This window comes from Homo sapiens, chromosome 3 (genome assembly GCF_000001405.40).
Source record: "Homo sapiens chromosome 3, GRCh38.p14 Primary Assembly".
Classification (NCBI taxonomy): domain Eukaryota; kingdom Metazoa; phylum Chordata; class Mammalia; order Primates; family Hominidae; genus Homo; species Homo sapiens.
In genome coordinates, this window is record NC_000003.12 from 121853458 (window position 1) to 121874496 (window position 21039).

General features: G+C 37.5%; 1 protein-coding gene across 7 annotated transcripts in view; it reads left to right on the forward strand.

Moving 5' to 3' along the window:
* The window catches only part of EAF2 (ELL associated factor 2), a 51318-nt gene that overhangs the window by 18249 nt on the left and 12030 nt on the right, over positions 1-21039 (forward strand). For 4 of the 7 annotated variants that reach the window (XM_047448576.1, XM_017006861.2, XM_005247618.4 and 1 more), the window contains 3 exons: positions 1230-1366; positions 3554-3699; positions 19080-19331. In XM_047448576.1, coding sequence (XP_047304532.1) covers positions 1230-1366; positions 3554-3699; positions 19080-19331 — 535 coding nt within the window. Of the gene's footprint in view, positions 1-1229; positions 1367-3553; positions 3700-19079; positions 19332-19531; positions 19610-21039 lie in introns of those variants that run through there. The other 3 variants (XM_047448577.1, NM_001320041.2, XM_017006863.2) reach the window with 2 other exon arrangements.

Sequence of the window (21039 nt, forward strand, 5' to 3'; positions counted from 1 at the left end):
GCCCAGGTTGGAGTGCAGTGGCTATTCACGGGTGTGATTATGTCACACTGAAGCCTAGAACTCCTGGCTTCAAGCTGTCCTCCTGCTTCAGCACCCATCCTCCACAAGTAGCTGGTACTACAGTGCCTGCACCTGGCTCTCTTCTCTTTTTTATGCCATTGGTTTGTTGGAAAAACCGTACTATCTGTCCTAGAGAATATACCTACATTCTGGACTTCAAATTACTTCTATCTGGATGTATTTAACTTGTTCCTCTATTCCTTCTATTTTCTATATATTGGTAGTTATATATCTAAGGGCAGGCTGGATTACAGATTCTTTGGGGTTTGATAAGAATTAAATTCTTTGGGGTTTTTGTGTGGTTTTTGGCAAGAGTATTTTATGGATGGCGCAGTGTACTTTCATATGACATCATTAAGCACATAATGTCTGCTTATCTTACTTTTAATTATGCTAAATTTAATTAGTGGGTTTAGTGTAAGAGGTGTTCCTTAATATGCATAGGGAGGTACTGCTTTAAGAAAATGCCAGATTTTAAAAATTAAACTTATAAAGCAATAAGAAAGAAGATGAGGAGGCTGGGCACAGTGGCTTCTGCCTGTAATCACAGCACTTTGGGAGACTGAGATGGGTGGATCACTTGAGGTCAGGAGTTCGAGACCAGCCTGACCAACATGGTGAAACCCCGTCTCTACTAAAAATATAAAAATTAGCTGGGCGTGGTTGTCCATGCCTATAGTCCCAACTGCTCTGGAGGCTGAGGCAGGAGAATCACTTGAATCCAGGAGGTGGAGGTTGCAGTGAGCCGAGATCGTGCCACTGCACTCCAGCCCGGGCAACAGAGCAAGACTCTGTCTCAAAAAAAAAAAAAAAAAAAGGAGGAATAGAAAATATGATTCAAGGCTCTGTTTCCTTATCCATAAAATATATTGGTTGTGTTCGAATTGAATCTCAATTACTCATTATAGGCCAAAGAAACAAATCTTTACTGTCCCAAGGTGAGTACCTCCTGTCTTCCCTTTCCTCAATGACAGCAGCTTTGAGATTTCAGCCTATCTTCATCTGTCTTTTTTACTACACTCTTTGGATTCAGGGTAGTAAATTTAGGTAGTTTATGGGTGACTTGAAGTATAACATAGAAGGAGAAACCCAGAATCAAGATTTCAAAGGCCTTCCCAAGTGAATTCCTATGATAAATTTTAAGTAATAATAATTAACTTTTTAAACAGGGTTCAACTCCACCAGTAACTGTTTTCAAAGGTTCAAAAAAACCTTACTTAAAAGAATGCATTTTGATTATTAACCATGATACTGGAGAATGTCGGCTAGAAAAACTCAGCAGCAACATCACTGTAAAAAAAACAAGGTATGTGGTTTAATGAAATAAATTATATTATAAACATAAATTTCTAAGGAAATGTCAATAAAAAATTTATTAAGTCACATTATAATATAGGAGTTATTTCTGTGTGGTACAAAAATGTTTTAATCTTTTTCTAAGTTTAAATTTGGTGGAGATCCTAAGCAAAAAGCGTTTTACCACATTACCCTGTGATATATAAAAGCTTGTTTTGCTTCTAAATGCTTTCTATAGGTATAGGTACACTTTTTATCCTATTGTAGATACTTCTGTATAACTGGATTGAAGGAAGCCATTATACATTCTCTAAAATAATTTCATCTTCATTAGTAAAAATTTATTGAGTACCTAGGATGTGTAAGGTACTAGAAAAAGGAAAGTTTGCTCTGCAAACACCTCAAAACTTCTGCATTTTATTCAGATAAACAGACTATTCCATTTAAAAAGTCAATAGGAGAATATACCCATCTCAAATCCTTTTTGGAAATAGGTAACACATTACTTACCCTGTAATATAAGGATGTTTGCTCTAAAAGCCATGCAAATAGTATAGACAAAAATTGCTCTAGGAATTAAGAAAAAGGAGAAGTAATGGTAGATTGGAAAATTCAGGGAGGCCTTTTTGATGTACCTTAAGAGGAGGTTAGGATCATAAGAATTACCTTGGGTGCTTGTTAAAAATTAGTTCCCGAATCCAACCTTAAATCAGGGAAGGATCCTGGGAAACTCTATTTTTTAATATCCCCTCACCCCTACCATCCATGCCCTGCTGTGATTCACACCAGAAGAAAGTTTGTGCAATACCGATTTAATTGATTAGAGAGGAGATGAGAATGTAAGACAAGTTTGATATCTGATTTATTCAGGGCCAATGAGTAAGACCTACTTGAACGGAGCAGAGGTTTGTCTCTGTACCTGTGTATACGTTTTGGAAAGTAGGGGGCGATGTTGATATTGGGCTAGAGGTAAGGTTGTAATTTTGTTGGTTGAGGTTAGTGCCATCAATATTAACTAAGAAATTAGGACATTATCTTGCTGGTAGTCGTTACATATTAAAGTCTTTTTAACCAGGGATTGGCATGTTTACAGTTTTGTTTTAAAACATTAATTCAGTAGAGAAACTGAGTAAATGAAACAATGTAGGAATCAGAAAAATGTATAAACCAGGATTTTTGAGGGCAGGAATGAAGAGAAAGTGAGGTTCTAAAGACTTTTTGAAGGAAGAACTGACAGGATTTGGTGACTGGAAATGGGAGAGGCAAAAATCAAGCATACTTTTATTATACTACACTCTTCTTAAAGATATTGAAAGAAAAGTATATGAATCTCCTTTATTATCATGCCTGTCTTAAGTTATGAATGGAAACTTTAGAAGTGATTTAGTTTTAACAGAAATGATAATCTTAGAACTTACGGAATATATCGTACCTGTTATACACTTATATTTTTCCTTTTATTTTAGTCATTTGTGAATATCTTATCTGTTCAATTTAAGCAATGGCTTTTTTTTTTTTTTGGTTGTTGTTTTATTTATTTTTAAATAGAGATGGAGGGTCTCGTTATATTGCCCAGGCTGGTCTTGAACTCCTGGCCTCAAACCATCTTCCTTCCTCAGCCTCCGAAAGTGCTGGGATTATAGGCATGAGCCACTGCACCAGCCTGGATTTTTGTTTTTGTTTTATGAGACAGGGTCTCACTCTGTCACCCAGGCTGGAGTGCAGTGGCGCAATCATAGCTTACTGCAGCTTCTAACTCCTGGGCTCAAATGATCCTCCCACAGCCTCCTAAATAGCTGAGATTACAGGTGTGCATCATCATGCCCAGCTAATATTTTTATTATTTTTATACAGACAGGGTCTCGTTATGTTGACAAGGCTGGTCTTGAATTCCTGGCCTCAAGTAATCCTCCCACTTCAGCCTCCCAATATGCTGGGATTACAGGCATGAGGCGCCAAGCCTGGCACTGGTTTTGTTTTTGTTCTTGTTTGTATCCCTCAATGGACATGTGTATCACAGAAATAGAACTTGATAAATACTTGTTAAATAATGAACTAAATTAATGTTTTAATTATGGAATATTATTCTAAAGATGTTTAGGAAAAGAATAAGTGGTCAGTTTTAGTAACTTTGTAAGTTAAATTTTTGTTACATTGCTGTCATACCTGTTTCAATATTTGATATTCTTAATTGCAGAGTTGAAGGAAGCAGTAAAATTCAGTATCGTAAAGAACAACAGCAACAACAAATGTGGAATTCAGCCAGGACTCCCAATCTTGTAAAACATTCTCCATCTGAAGATAAGATGTCCCCAGCATCTCCAATAGATGATATCGAAAGAGGTAAAATCTAAGTATATGTAACATCCCTTTATAAGAGATAATTAAGAAATGTTAAGGCCAGGCATGGTGGCTCACACCTGTAATCCCAGCACTTTAGGAGGCCGAGGCAGGCGGATCATGAGGTCAGTAGTTCAACACCAGCCTGGCCAACATGGTGAAACCGCATCTCTGCTAAAAATACAAAAATTAGCTGGGCATGATGGCATGTGCCTGTGGTCCCACCTACTCGGGAGGCTGAGGTAGAAGAATCACTTGAACCCAGGAGGCAGAGGTTGCAGTGAGCTGAGATTGCGCCACTGCACTCCAGCCTGGGTGACGGTGAGACTCCATCTCAAAAAAAAAAAAAAGAAAAAAAAATGCTAAATGAATTTTTTCATTTTAATTAACAGTGGTACTAATTATAAATGTTTACCAAGAGCATAATATTTTTTGTAATTACGCATTTTTCTGGGTAATGATGTAGCTTATGATTTTTAGTTTTATGTAAGCAATATCCATATAAGAGAATTTGTATCATTTTATTTATTTTATTATACTTTAAGTTCTAGGGTACATGTACACAACGTGCAGGTTTGTTACATATGTATACATGTGGCATGTTGGTGTGCTGCACCCATTAACTCATCATTTACATTAGGTATATCTCCGAATGCTATCCCTCCCCTCTCCCCCAACCCCATGACAGGCCCCGGTGTGTGATGGACACCCTGTGTCCAAGTGTTCTCATTGTTCAATTCCCACCTATGAGTGAGAACATGTGGTGTTTGGTTTTCTGTCCTTGCAGTAGTTTGCTCAGAATGATGGTTTCCAGCTTCATCCATGTCCCTACAAAGGACGTGAACACATCCTTTTTTATGGCTGCATAGTATTCCATGGTGTATATGTGCCACATTTTCTTAATCCAGTCTATCATTGTTGGACATTTGGGTTGGTTCCAAGTCTTTGCTATTGTGAATAGTGCCACAATAAACATACGTGTGCATGTGTCTTTATAGCAGCATGATTTATAATCCTTCGGGTATATACCCAGTAATGGGATGGCTGGGTCAAATGGTATTTCTAGTTCTAGATCCTTGAGGAATCGCCACACAGTCTTCCGCAATGGTTGAACTAATTTACAGTCCCATCAACAGTGTAAAAGTGTTCCTATTTCTCCACATCTCTCTAGCACCTGTTGTTTCCTGCCTTTTTAATGATCGCCATTCTAACTGGTGTGAGATGGTATCTCATTGTGGTTTTGATTTGCATTTCTCTGATGACCAGTGATGATGAGCATTTTTTCATGTGTCTGTTGGCTGCATAAATGTCTTCTTTTGAGAAGTGTCTGTTCATATCCTTTGCCCACTTTTTGATGGAGTCGTTTGTTTTTTTCTTGTAAATTTGTGTAAGTTCTTCATAGATTCTGGATATTAGCCCTTTGTAAAATGGGTAAATTGCAAAAATTTTCTCCCATTCTGTAGGTTGCCTGTTCACTCTGATGGTAGTTTCTTTTGCTGTGCAGAAGCTCTTTAGTTCAATCATATCCCATTTGTCTATTTTGGCTTCTGTTGCCATTGCTTTTGATGTTTTAGTCATGAAGTCCTTGCCCATGCCTATGTCCTGAATGGTATTGCCTAGGTTTTCTTCTAGCGTTTTTATGGTTTTAGGTCTAACATTTAAGTCTTTAATCCATCTTGAATTAATTTTTATATAAGGTGTAAGGAAAGTATCCAGTTTCAGCTTTCTACATACGGCTAGCCAGTTTTCCCAGCACCATATATTAAACAGGGAATCCTTTCCCCGTTGCTTGTTTTTGTCAGGTTTGTCAAAGATCAGATGATTGTAGATGTGTGGTGTGATTTCTGAAGCCTCTGTTATGTTCCATTGGTCTATATATGTGTTTTGGTACCAGTACTATGGTGTTTTGATTACTGTAGCCTTGCAGTATAGTTTCAAGTCAGGTAGCGTGATGCCTCCGGCTTTGTTCTTTTGGCTTAGGATTGTCTTGGCAATGCGGGCTGTTTTTTGTGTCTGTATGACTTTAAAGTAGTTTTTTTCCAATTCTCTGAAGAAAGCCATTGATAGCTTGATGGAGATGGCATTGAATCTATAAATTACCTTGGACAGTATGGCCATTTTCACGATATTGACTCTTCCTATCCATGAGCATGGAATGTTCTTCCATTTGTTTGTGTCCTCTTTTATTTTTTTGAGCAGTGGTTTGTATTTCTGCTTGAAGAGGTCCTTCACATCCCTTGTAAGTTGGATTCCTAGGTATTTTATTCTCTTTGAAGCAATTGTGAATGGGAGTTCACTCATGATTTGGCTCTCTGTTTGTTTGTTATTGGTGTATAGGAATGCTTGTGATTTTTGCACATTGATTTTGTATCCTGAGACTTTGCTGAAGTTGCTTATCAGCTTAAGGAGATTTGGGGCTGAGACAATGGGGTTTTCTAAATATACAATCATGTCATCTGCAAACAGGGACAATTTGACTTCCTCTTTTCCCAATTGAATACCCTTTGTTTCTTTCTCCTGCCTGATTGCCCTGGCCAGAGCTCCCCAACACTATGTTGAATAGGAGTGGTGAAAGAGGGCATCCCTGTCTTGTGCCAGTTTTCAAAGGGAATGCTTCCAGTTTTTGCCCATTCAGTATGATATTGGCTGTGGGTTTGTCATAAATAGCTCTTATTATTTTGAGATACGTTCCATCAATACCTAGTTTATTGAGAGTTTTTAGCATGAAGGGCTGTTGATTTTTGTCGAAGGCCTTTTCTGCATCTATTGAGATAATTGTGTGGTTTTTGTCATTCGTTCTGTTTATGTGATGGATTATGTTTATTGATTGGCATATGTTGAACCAGCCTTGTATCCCAAGGATGAAGCCGACTTGATCATGGTGGATAAGCTTTTTGATGTGCTGCTGGATTCAATTTGCCAGTATTTTATTGAGGATTTTCACATCGGTGTTCACCAGGGATACTGGTCTAAAATTCTCTTTCTTTGTTGTCTCTGCCAGGCTTTCATATCAGGATGATGCTGGCCTCATCAAATGAGTTAGGCAGGATTCCCTCTTTTTCTATCGATTGGAATAGTTTCAGAAGGAATGATACCAGCCCCTCTTTCTACCTCTGGTAGAATTCAGCTGTGAATCCGTCTGGTCCTGGCCTTTTTTTGATTGGTAGGCTATTAATTATTGCCTCAATTTCAGAGCCTGTATTGGTCTATTCAGGGATTCAATTTCTTCCTTGTTTATTCTTGGGAGGGTGTATGTGTCCAGGAATTTATCCATTTCTTCTCGATTTTCTAGTTTATTTGCATAGAGGTGTTTATAGTATTCTCTGATGGTAGTTTGTATTTCTGTGGGATCAGTGGTGCTATCCCGTTTATCATTTGTTATTGTATCTATTTGATTCTTCTCTCTTTTTTTCTTTATTAGTCTTGCTAGTGGTCTATCAATTTTGTTGATCTTTTCAAAAAACCAGCTCCTAGATTCATTGATTTTTTTGAAGGGTTTTTTGTGTCTCTATCTCCTTCAGTTCTCCTCTGATCTTAGTTATTTCTTGCCTTCTGCTAGCTTTTGAATTTGTTTGCTCTTGCTTCTTTAGTTCTTTGACTGGTGATGTTACGGTGTCGATTTTAGATCTTTCCTGCTTTCTCTTGTGGGCATTTAGTGCTGTAAATTTCCCTCTACACACTGCTTTAAATGTGTCCCAGAGATTCTGGTATGTTGTGTCTTTGTTCTCATTGGTTTCAAAGGACATCTTTATTTCTGCCTTCATTTTGTTATTTACCCAGTAGTCATTCAGGAGCAGGTTGTTCAGTTTCCATGTAGTTGTGCGTTTTGAGTGAGTTTCTTAGTCCTGAGTTCTAATTTGATTGCACTGTGTTCTGAGAGACAGTTTGTTGTGATTTCTATTCTTTTATATTTGCTGAGGAGTGCTTTACTTCTAACTATGTGGTCAATTTTGGAATAAGTGTGATGTGGTTCTGAGAAGGATGTATATTCTGTTGATTTGGGGTGGAGAGTTCTGTAGATGTTTATTAGGTCCACTTGGTGCAGAGCTGAGTTCATGTCCTGTATATCCTTGTTAACCTTCTGTCTCATTGATCTGTCTAATATTGACAGTGGGGTGTTAAAGTCTCCCATTATTATTGTTTGGGAGTCTAAGTCTCTTTGTATGTCTCTAAGGACTTGCTTTATGAATCTGGGTACTCCTGTACTGGGTGCATATATATTTAGGATAGTTAGGTCTTCTTGCTGAATTGATCCCTTTCCATTATGTAATGGCCTTCCTTGTCTCTTTTGATCTTTGTTGGTTTAAAGTCTGTTTTGTCAGGGACTAGGATTGCAACCCCTGCTTTTTTTTTGTTTTCCATTTGCGTGGTAGATCTTCCTCCATCCCTTTATTTTGAGCCTATGTGTGTCTCTGCATGTGAGATGTGTCTCCTGAATACAGTGCACTGATGGGTCTTGACTCTTTATCCAATTTGCCAGTCTGTGTCTTTTAATTGGAGCATTTAGCTTATTTACATTTAAGGTTAATATTGTTATGTGTTAATTTGATCCTGTCATTATGATGTTAGCTGGTTATTTTGCTCGTTAGTTTATGTAGTTTCTTCCTAGCATCAATGGTCTTTACAATTTGGCATGTTTTTGTAGTGGCTGGTACCGGCTGTTCCTTTCCATGTTTAGTGCTTCCTTCAGGAGCTCTTGTAAGGCAGGCCTGGTGGTGACAAAATCTCTCAGCATTTGCTTGTCTGTAAAGGATTTTATTTCTCCTTCACTTATGAAGCTTAGTGTGGCTGGATATGAAATTCTGTGTTGCAAATTATTTTCTTTAAGAATGTTGAATATTGGCCCCCATGCTCTTCTGGCTTGTAGAGTTTCTGCCGAGAGATCTGCTGTTAGTCTGATGGGCTTCGCTTTGTGGGTAACCCGACCTTTCTCTCTGGCTTCCTTTAACATTTTTTCCTTCATTTCAACATTGGTGAATCTGACAATTATGTGTCTTGGAGTTGCTCTTCTCCAGGAGTATCTTTGTGGTATTCTCTGTATTTCCTGAATTTGAATGTTGGCCTGCCTTGCTAGGTTGGGGAAGTTCTCCTGGATAATATCCTGAAGAGTGTTTTCCAACTTGTTTCCATTCTCTCTGTCACTTTCAGATACACCAATCAAACGTAGATTTGGTCTTTTCACATTGTCCCGTATTCCTGGAGGCTTTGTTCATTTCTTTTTACTCTTTTTACTCTAAACTTCTCTTCTCACTTCATTTCATTCATTTGATCTTCAATCACTGAAACCCTTTCTTCCACTTGATCTAATTGGCTACTGAAGCTTGTGGAAGCATCACGTAGTTCTCGTGCCACGGTTTTCAGCTCCATCAGGTCATTTAAGGTCTTCTCTATGCTGTTTATTCTAGTTAGCCATTTGTTTAATCTTTTTTCAAGGTTTTTAGCTTCTTTGCGATGGGTTCGAACATCCTCCTTTAGCTTGGAGAAGTTTGTTATCACCAATTGTCTGAAGCCTTCTTCTCTCTATTCGTCAAAGTCGTTCTCTGTCCAGCTTTATTCCATTGCTGGCGAGGAGCTGCATTCCTTTGGAGGAGAAGAGGCACTCTGATTTTTGGAATTTTCAGCTTTTCTGCTCTGGTTTCTCCCCATCTTTTATCCCAAAAGGTAGATAAAGGTTTTATCTACCTTTGGTCTTTGATAATGGTGACGTACAGATGGGGTTTTGGTGTGGATGTCCTTTCTGTTTGTTAGTTTTCCTTCTAACAGTCAGGACCCTCAGCTGCAGTCTGTTGGAGTTTGCTGGAGGTGCACTCCAGACCCTGTTTTCCTGGGTATCACCAGCGGAGGCTGCAGAGTAGCAAATATTGCAGAAGGGCAAATGTTGCTGCCTGGTCCTTCCTCTGGAAGCTTCGTCTCAGAGGGGCACTTGGCTGTATGAGGTGTCAGTCAGCCCCTACTGGGAGGTGTCTCCCAGTTAGGCTATTCGGGGGTCAGGGACCCACTTGAGGAGGAAGTCTGTCCGTTCTCAGATCTCAAAGTCTGTGCTGGGAGAACCACTGCTGTCTTCAAAGCTGTCAGCAGGGACGTTGAAGTCTGCAGAAGTTTCTGCTGCCTTTTGTTCAGCTATGCCCTGCCCCCAGAGGTGGAGTCTACAGATGCAGGCAGGCCTCCTTGAGCTGCGGTGGGCTCCACCTGGTTCAAGCTTCCAGGCTGCTTTGTTTTGTTTACCTACTCAAGTCTCAGCAATGGTGGACGCCCCTACCTCAGCCTCACTGCTGCCTTGCAGTTTGATCTCAGACTGCTGTGCTAGCAGTGAATGAGGCTCCGTGGGCATGGGACCCTCCGAGCCAGGTGCGGGATATAATCACCTGGTGTGCCGTTTGCTAAGACCATTGGAAAAGCACAGTATTAGGGGTGGGAGTGTCACGATTTTCCAGGTACTGTCTGTCACAGCTGCCCTTTGCTAGGAAAGGGAATTCCCCGACCCCTCGCACTTCCCGGGTGAGGCAATGCCCTGCCCTGCTTCAGCTCACACTCTGTGGGCTGCACCCACTGTCTAACAAGCCCCAGTGAGACGAACCCAGTACCTCAGTTGGAAATGCAGAAATCACCCATCTTCTGCGTGGCTCATGGTGGGAGCTGTAGACTGGAGCTGTTCCTATTCAGCCATCTTGGAACCTCCCCTTGTATCATTTTAAATTACTATTCAGGGTAAAAAAAATGACTCTTTAGATATATGTAACTGGAGTTTTCTTCTTTTTGGCAATTGTGATGACTCAAATTCAATTCCTCACAGCATCTTCCTGTCAAAATTTTTTATGTATGGCCAGACTGTAGATATTTAAGATGTCACCAATTCCATAGGGAAATGAGGAAATATAGTAAGCAGAATAAGCAGGCAACTTTTTCTGAATTGCTGCTTACTTCTCAGAAGGGAGGTATTTTTGGGGAAGTACATACAGTCCTTTTGTAAGTAAGAAAACTTAAATCTCCATTTTTTTTCTAGCTGCAGTGTGGGTTATCAATGTTGTAGTAATTGTGGCTGCAGTGAGACCCTGGTCACTAAAGCATATTTGCTTCTACACTTTGCCTTCTTAAAATTTTCACATAGCTGTCCAATTTCAGTGTTCCCTTCTAAGCCCAGTAGAGTATTCATTCTCTAATCGATTAGTAGCTCCTATACAAACAATAAAAAAGACAAGTCCAGAACCCTTGGCGATACAACGGGTCTTGAATTTTATTTTTTTTTACATCATGCCTGCTTCCAAATGGATTTGAATTATGATGTCTTTATATACATGAATACAATAAAATATTGGTACAGAAAATCAAGATATTGAAGGGGAAGGGAAGGCAAATTTGCTAATCATTAACACATTAAATTGCTGGGTATGGTGGTGCACACCTATAATCCCAGTACTTTGGGAGGACAAGGCAGATGGATCACTTGAGCTCAGGAGTTTGAGAGCAGCCTGGGCAACATGGTAAAACCCCATCTCTACAAAAAAATGCAAAATTAGCTGGGTGTGGTGGTGTATGCCTGTAGTCCCAGCTACTTGGGAGGCTAAGCTGGGAGGATTACTTGAGCATGGGGAGGTCAAGCCTGCAGTGAGTCATGATTGTGCCACTGCATTCCAGCCTGGGTGACAGAGTGAGACTCTGTCTCAAAAAATAATAATAATAGTAATAATAATTTAGCTCTGAGCTTCTAATCACCAAGACATAAGGGAGACACAAGCAGCATATGTTGTATCATCTGATAGGTTACAAAGAATCAGACTTTTTCCTGTTACTAAATTCTAAAAGGAATTCATCATATGGAACCTTTTTCTAGGGAGCATTAAACTTTATATAGTATTCTCAACAATAATTTTACAGTACAAGTAGAAGTTCTTCCATGTGGTAGTTTTTTAATAGAGGCCTTAATAAAAGCATTGTATCAAAGCATAACTCAGGGAAAAGAACGTTGTAGAGGAGGCAAGGCACAGTGGCTCATGCCTATAATTCCAGCACTTTGGGGGCCCAAGGTGGGAGGATCATTTGAGCCCAGGAGTTTGAGAACAGCCTGAGCAACATGGTGAAACCTCATCTCAATTAAAAAATTGTAAAAATTAAAAGTTAAAAAAAAGAAAGTTGTAGAGGTTAACACAATCTCCAACCATAAAGCTTTCTATTTCTAACTTAGTATGAGAATGGAACTTCATTTACCTTGAGATATTTGTATAACATATTCCTTAGATTGCATTCTATAAAATATTTTCTTGACCCTACTGTGCCACTGACTACTGTTAAAATGGTTGAATCACCTTTTCAGGTTTATGTCTGGCAGTTGTACTAATATTTTTGTAGCTTAAATTTTACATTTACATCTTTGAGCTATCTAGAATTGAGTTTGGGAGATAAGATAGAGGCTAGGTGCAGTGGCTTACACCTGTAATCCCAGCACTTTGGGAGGCCGAGGTGGGAGGATCGTTTGAGGCCAGGAGTTTAAGATAGCAAGACCCCATCTCTATAAAAAAAAATATTTTTTTAAAAAAGAAATAAGATGGATCTAAAATTCTACTCCCCTACCCGGAGACAACTCACAGCTGGGAGTACCAACAAATAGGATGATACCACAGTGAGTGACTGCATTCCTCAAAGTGTTCTCCTTGCATGCCTGGCCTGAGGTTCCCTTCCTCCATCAGAGACACTCTATGGCCAGAAGGTCCCTGCAAGTAGAATTCTACTGTAATAAGCATTCAGCCTGGGAAGACTGTTTACACCACTCTACCTCCCAGACCTGCCCCCCTGCCCTATTAACCTAAGATTCTTCTCTCTCATCTAAAGACATCTTGAGACTGGATCGCACCAATAAAGGGGATCCTGCCACAACAAACACTTTGCTATGAAGCACTTTCCTTTCCTCCACCTCTCCAAGCAGGGGAGCCAATCACAACAAAAAATTGCCTGGTTCAGGAAGCACTCTTTATCCCAGGCAAGAGACTCCCTTTCACCTATACGCACCACATCTCCTTGCCTGGTGAAGTCCCTTCTTTCCTTCACGTGGCACCAGCAGGGATCATCGGGGACCCTAGCTGCTGGAGATTTAGTTGAGAAGACCAAGACAATACTGTAAAAACTCTGAAAACGAGATTGTCATTTAAACTACAGCCCACAACAGTAGGCAAGAATATGCATGCTAAACCTAAACAGAGTGATTGCCTACTAAAATTAAAAATTTGAATAAGATATAGATCTCCCCTAGCATAAAAACCAAGATATCCAAGATATAATAGAAAATTACCTGTCCTGGCTGGGTGCGGTGGCTCACATCTGTAATCCCAGCACTTTGGGAGGCCAAGGCAAGCAGATCACTTGAGGTCAGGAGTTTGAGACCAGCCTGGCCAATGTGGTGAAACCCTGTCTCTACTAAAATACAAAAATTAGCTGGGTGTGGTGGCACGCACCTATAATTCCAGCTACTTGGGAGGCTGAGGCAGGAGAATTGCTTGAACCCAGGAGGTGGAGGTTGCAGTGAGCCAAGATAGTGCCACTGCGCTCCAGCCTGGGCAACAGAGCAAAACTCCATCTTAAAAAAATAAAAAAAATAAAAAATAAAAAGAAAAAGAAAATAAAATTACCTGTCGTACCGTAATTTGTGATTCAAGAGAATCACGTGAATGAGAAAAGACAATCAACTGACACCAACACGAGGATGAATCAAATGTTAGAATTATCTGTCAATGATCTTTAAACAATTATCACGAATATCGTTCAGTTATACATTCCCTTGAAACAAATGAAAAACAAAATAGAAAATCACATTAAAGAAATAGAAGTTTTAAGTAAGAATCAGATGGAAATTATAGAACTGACAAATACAATAACAACAAAAATACTCACTGGATGGGCTCAGTGCTAGGGATTGGATAGAATCAGTTTACTTGTGGATGTATAGAATCCCCTCAACCTGAAAATAGAAAATAGACTGAAACAAGATGAGCATGTCCCCAAGAATCTGTGGAAGAATGATAAAATATCCAATATTTGTGTCATTGGAGTCTCAAAGAAGAGGGAGAGCAGGGTTAAAAGAGTATTTAAATAAATATGTGCAAAAACTTCCCAAGTTTTATGAAAGACATAAACCCACAGATGTAAAAACCCGAACAAGCCCCAAATAGGATAAACCCAAAGAAATTGATGCCAAGGTACATCATAATGAAACATCTGAAAACTAAAGGCAAAGAGAAAAGGGTTGAAAGCAAGAAAGAAATGACATATTACCTATGAAAGAATACCATTTGGTTAACATCCTATTTCTCATCTGAAGCCATGGAGCCCAGAAAGGAGTGGCATAATATATTTCAAGTGCTGAAAGAAAAAAAATGTTAAGTGTGAATTCTGTATCTACCAAAATGATTCTTCAGTAATGAGGGGCAAATAGCCTGCTTCAGAAAGGAAAACTGAAAGAATTTGTTCCTAGGAAACTATCCTTAAATATTGGCTGTATAAAGTCATTCAGACAGAAGAGAAACGTTAAATGAAGGAATCTTAGAGTATCAGGAAGAGAGAAACAGCAACAGAAAGAGCAAACATATCAATAAGTACAATTGATTATGATTTTCCTCATGACTTTTCTAAATCATATGTGATGACTGAAACAAAAATGATAATACCTTCTGATTCCCAAAATAATGATATTTCAAAGTGGATATGAGGTTACTTAGAATGGGAATGCATTGACAAGTCAGGTATGTATATTGAAAAACCCAAACCAACCACTAAGAAAAATAAACAAAATGACACCTTTTAAAACTTTATAAATTAATTGAGATGGCATTCTAAAATGTTTCAAGTAACCCACAGAAAGGCAAGACAAGCAAAACAGAGAAATGAAATACAGAGGAAGCAAACAGAAAACAAATAACAAATTGACACACTTAAGCCCTAACATATATCAATAATTACTTTAAACATATATTGTCTAAATAAGCCAATTAAACTGCAGATATTGGCAGGCTGTATAAAAAGTACACCCAACTATATGCTGTTTATAAGAAATTAATGAAATATGTAGCTTGAAAGTAAAAGAATAGAAAATATATACCATTTAAACATTAATTTTAAAAAGCACAAACATGTGACCATATTAATATCAGATAAAGATGACTTAAGAGCAAAATAGGCCAGGCGCAGTGGCTCACGCCTGCAATCCCAGCACTTTGGGAGGCCGAGGCAGGCAGATCACTTGAGGTCAGGAGTTCGTGACCAGCCTGGCCAACGTGGTGAAACCCCATCCCTACTAAAAATACAAAAATTAGCCAAGCACGGTGGCACGCACCTTAATCCCAGCCACTCAGGAAGCTGAGGCAGGAGAATCGCTTGAACTTGGGAGGCGGAGGTTGCAGTGAGCTGAGATCACGCCACTGCACTGCAGCTTGGGTGACAGAGTGAGACTCCATCTCAAAAATAAATAAATAAATAAATTACTACAAAGAGGTACATTAACAATGATTAAAGTATTGATTTACCAGAAAGACATAAGTGTGTATACATCTAACAACTGAACTGAACTGAGAAAAACGTGAAGCAAAAACTGCTAGAACTGAAAAGAGAAATCTGCAAATCCACAATTATGCCTGGGTATTTCAACACTCTGCTCTCAGCAACTAATAGAACTACTAGACAGAAAATCGACACATACATAGGAGATCTGAGTAACACAATCAACCCACACGATGTAATTGACAGATATGTAACATGCCACACAACAGCAGAATACACATTTTGTTTCAAGTGCCCATGGAATATTTACTAAGATAGACCATATCCTGGGCCATAAAACAAATCTCAATAGATTTATAGAGACTGAAGTCATGCAGACTATGTATCTGACCATAATGGATTCAAACTAAAAATCAATAACAGACAACAGGAGATATCTCTAAACACTTGAAAATTAAACACATTTCTAAAAGATCCATGGGTTAAAGAAGAATCATCAAAGGAAATTAAAAATACATGCAGCTAAATGTATTAAGTAAACATAGCATGCCAAAATATGTGTAATGCAACTGAAGAAGTTCTAAGAGGGAAATTTATGGCACTAAATGCTTACATTAGAAGTGAGGAAAGTTATCATATTAATTAATTTAAGTCCCTTTTTTAGGAAACTAGGAAAAGAAAAGCAGATTAAACCCAAAGCAAGCAAAAAGAGACAAATAATGAAAATAAGAAGTGATATCAATGAAATTGAAAACAGTAGAGAAAATTAATGAAACAAAAAGGCAGTCATCGGAGAACACTGTTGATAAACTTCTAGTAAGATTGATAAAAATGAAAAGACAGAAGGCACAAATTACGAATATCAGGAATGTAAAGTACAACTTCTATCTATAATCAGGAAAGTAATGAATTTACTATAGATCCAGTAGCCATTAAAAGTATTATAAAGAAATGGTAGGCTGGGTGTGGTGGTTCACACCTGTAATCCCAACACTTTCGGAGGCCAAGGCAAGAGGGTTGCTTGAGCCCGGGAGTTTGAGACCAGCCTAGGCAATACAGAGTCTCTACAAAAAAAAAAATTTTTTTTTTAGATTACTCAGGCAGTCAGGCGTGGTGGTGTGCACCTGAGTAGTCCCAGCTACTCAGGAGGCTGAGGTGAGTGGATTGCTTGAGCCCAAGAGGTTGAGGCTGCAGTGAGCCATAATTGTGCCACTGCACTCCAGCCTGGGTGACAGAGTAAGACCCTATCTAAAAAGAAGAGAAAAGAAATATGATAGCTTTGTGCTCATAAATTTGACAGTTTAGAGGAAATGGACTAGTTCCTCAAAAGCTAAAAACTGCCAAAACTCAACTAAGGCGAAGTAAGCAACTTGAATAGTGCTATCAATATTAAATAAATTAAATTAGTAATTAAAAAGCACCCACCCCAAAAATAGCCAGACCAAGAAGTCTACCAAACATTTAAAGAGAATTAACACCAACATTACACAATCTCTTCTGGAAAAAGGAAAAGGAAGGAATATTTCTAAGCTCATTTATGAGGCCAGTATTACCCCTAATACCCAAACCAGATAAAGACAGTACAAGAAAAGGAAAACTATGAACCAATATCTCTGATGAACTTAAACTCAAAAATTATCAATGAAATATTAGCAAATTGAATCCAACATTGTATAACAATAATTATGCAACATGAACAAGACAACATTGCTATTCTCACATTTTATTTAGGAGTATGGATGAGGGTGAGAGGGAGGGTAGGGAAGATACAAGCAGTAAACAAATAAGTATCCAAATGAATTTCAGAAATAAGTGTCTTGAAGAGAATTAAACTAAGCAATGGGGGTTGGAGAATGGAGAAGAAGGAAACTTTTGAGAAGGTTACACTTAAACCGATTCAAGAAGGAGCCAGCCTTTCAGAGATCTAGAATCTTCTCAAGAGACACCATTAATGAAATGAAAAGCCTAGCTACAGACTTGGGGGAACCTGGAAAAAATATTCACAAATGCCAAAAGTGTGACAAAGGGCTCATAGCCAGAAGAATTAGCTATAAAGAACTCTTACAAATCAGTAAGAAAAAGACAAACAAATATAAAAATGGACAAAAGATTTGAACAGGCTTTTCAAAAAAGATATTCAAATGGCCAGTAAGCATATAAAAAAACACTGCTTCATATTATCACATCAAAGAAATGAAAATTAAAACTACAAGAAGATACCATTGTACACCCTTCAGACTCACTATACCAAGTGTGTGTGTGCCCTAGTGAGGGAAGATATGAAGCATCTGTGACTCATACCTTGCTGGTTGGAGTGTAAAATCAGTTTGAAAACTGGGAGTTTTTAATGAAATTAAACCTATGCCTATTGTGACTTGGCAATTTCTCTCTTTCTACCTAAGAGAAATGTGTATATAAGTTCAAAAAGACTTGTAAAGGGATTTTCATAACAACTTTATTAATAATATCAAAAACTGAAAACAACCCAAATATCCATAAGTAGAAAATGGGTAACTAACTTGTGGTATATTTATATAATATAATATAATATAATATCATAGCAGTAGAGAAGAATAGGCTACAGATTAATTCAATAACATGAGTAAATATAAAAACATTATGTTGAAAGAAGGCAGACCAAAAAGTACATGCTGAGTGAATCTATTTGTATGAAGTTCAAGAATAGACGAATAGACAAAAATCTTTGGTAATAAAAGTCAAAATGGTGATTAGTGACTGGAAAAGAGCATAGGAGAATATTCATGGGAATGGAAATATTCTATATATTGATCTCAGTGGTAGATATACAGGTTTTATACATGCTAAAATTTATCTAGCTGTACATTTTACTTTATGGAAATTATGTATTAAACAAACAAACAAAAGATCTGGGTGAAGAATATACCAGGCAGAGGAAACAGCTAGTACGAAGAACATAGCCTGGAAATGGATTTAATGTGGTCAAATAATAGAAAGCCAGTGTGTCTATAATAGGGAGAATGAGGAAGTGGGCTAAAAATTACCAGTTAACTTAATGTAGCAGTGTACTAAGATGATATCAAATGTCAATGTGTTAACTGAGTGTATTATTCACTTAGCATTTTTTGGTTTAAAAAATTTTGTTCAACTATTTGACATTTGTATCATATGGGAAAATATTGACTTAAAAGTCAGTAGATTTGCCTCCACTCATAAATAACTGACAGCTTTTGACATTTCTGGATCTTCATTCCCTCATTTATAAAATTATGAAGTTGTTCTAAATGGTAGCTGAAGACCTTCCCAACTATAATTTTTTTGTGTATCTAGAACTTGAAAAATGCTAAACAAAAGAAGACATCATTATTATTCTTTTTATCTACAGAAATATTTATAGCCAAAGTTATAATGGGAACTGGCTCTTCAAAAATACTTAGAATATTTTAAATCCTTATTAAGGGAGCAGGGGGGAAACCTATAGATGCTTCATCAAAATGTTCTCTAGGAAAACCAGGAAAAGAATGAAGTTCATCTGTTACATTATCACATTATATTATATGTATTTAAAGGAACAAAAAATAATCAGAAGACAGTTTCTGCCAAAATAGATTTTAATTTTTATAGTTTTTCACAGTATTTACTTTATATTTGAGTTACCTGTATACTTAAGTACAATGGTTTAAATAAATGTGGAGTTTAGATTTAGACCTTGTCTATCCCTTTTAGTTTCTGTAATCCAATCATTGAAGTATGGCTTGATGGTAGAAGAGTTTTGTTTTTTAATAAAATGCTTCAAGTACTGTAAATGTATGTTTGATTTTAGTTTCAACAGTTTCTTAAAAACTAATACATTCAATTTTTATTATATTTATTTAGCATTTTTTATTTAACCTATCTATTCATTTCTGTCTTATTTTCAGAACTGAAGGCAGAAGCTAGTCTAATGGACCAGATGAGTAGTTGTGATAGTTCATCAGATTCCAAAAGTTCATCATCTTCAAGTAGTGAGGATAGTTCTAGTGACTCAGAAGATGAAGATTGCAAATCCTCTACTTCTGATACAGGGAATTGTGTCTCAGGACATCCTACCATGACACAGTACAGGATTCCTGATATAGATGCCAGTCATAATAGATTTCGAGACAACAGTGGCCTTCTGATGAATACTTTAAGTAAGTATACATAAACACAGGCAATTGGAAAAGTAAGAATTTATAGTGGAGCCATATTGATTGTGACCTAATATTTGGATAAAGAAAAAGATTCCTATTTTATGCATTTGATACTATTAATAATTACATTTTTATTGAATTATGGTTTTCTTTTGAATCTGTGACATAATGCCTTCTTGGTTTTTCTCCCATCTCTCTAGATAATCTTTCCTCTCACTCCTTTTCAAGTTTATATGATCCTCTGCTCAGTCATTAAAGTTGGAGTTTCTCAAGGCTTACTTTTGGGTTCTTTTTTTCTTTTCATTCTACAATTTCTCCCTAAATAACTTCCTCCATGTTTCTGTTGCAGTCAATACTTATGTGTAGGTAACTTGCAAATTTATATCTCTGATTCAAACCTCTAGGCTTTAGACACATGTTTAACATCATCTCCCATCATCTCATCACCTTCAAATTTACTTTGTCCAAAACCAACTCATAATCAATCTTTGGCTCACTGTGTTACCTCTTAGTGAAGGTAGCATACATCTAATTATGCAAATCATAAGTCTAATTATTTTCAATGGCTGAAGTTCTTCCTCTTTACAGTGTAGCCACTCCTTCATCAAGTCCTATTTGTTTTGCCTCCTCTATATTTCTCAAAGTCATCTGCTTCTCTGCATCTCCACCACTATCACAGTAGTTCAACCTATTATTTCTTGCCTTACCTACTACAATGACCTAACTGGTTCACCCCTTTATGTAGTCAAGCCCATTTTTGATCCATTATGTACACTGTAGCCATATTGATTTTTTTCACAATTCTAATACAATTTGTCATCTCTTCTGCTTTATACTTTTTAATAGCTTGTAATTTCTTTTAATATAGAGGCAAAACACCTTAACATAATCGTCTTGATTTTTCTTTTCTAACAACATGTGCTTTCTTTTTGCCACTATATTCAAATACTTTCACTCACATCAGGACCCTTATACATGCTGTCCATTCAGCCAGAAACACTTTCTTCTTTTCACATAATTTTTTCTCCTTTAGATTATAGTTCAAAGTTACTTCCTCTAGAAAGTCTTCACCTTTCTGAAGCTAAGAAGCTTCACCACAAGCTCCTATCTTTTACAGACCTTTAGAATATCAGATATGTCTTCTTTATATCAATTGTTTGACAGTTGTAAATTTACATTAATTTGTGTGATTTGCTCTCTTTCTCTAGAGTATAATGTTCCATGAGAACAAGGACCTTGTTTGTTTTTGCTTATCATTGAATTCTTGCACTTAGCACATGGTACTTGACACATAATAGATGCTCAGCAAATACTTTTTAATAAAGGCATGCAGGTTGGTATTACCTGGGGAGAATGGAATTTTCTGTATATTTAAAATTAATCTCACTATGTTTATTAATAATGAAAAAAGTAAGCAGCTAGGAAAGACTGACTAGCTTTAGCCTAATAATAGAACTAAAGAAGGGAGAAGCCAAGACTGAGAGGCAGAGAATTGGTAAACTATGGGTTAATTAGGGACCAGCAAAGATACTTTGAATTTCCAGTTATTTAGTGTTATTCTTGACTTGGGAAGTAATATTGGAAAATCTGATTTTTTGAATGGCCAAGAGAACATGGAGAAAACTCAGCTTGGTTGTACTAAATGAGAATCTGAGTAAAAGCTAGAAAAAATTTTCCAGTAATTAATAAGTTCTATAGTAAATTGAGC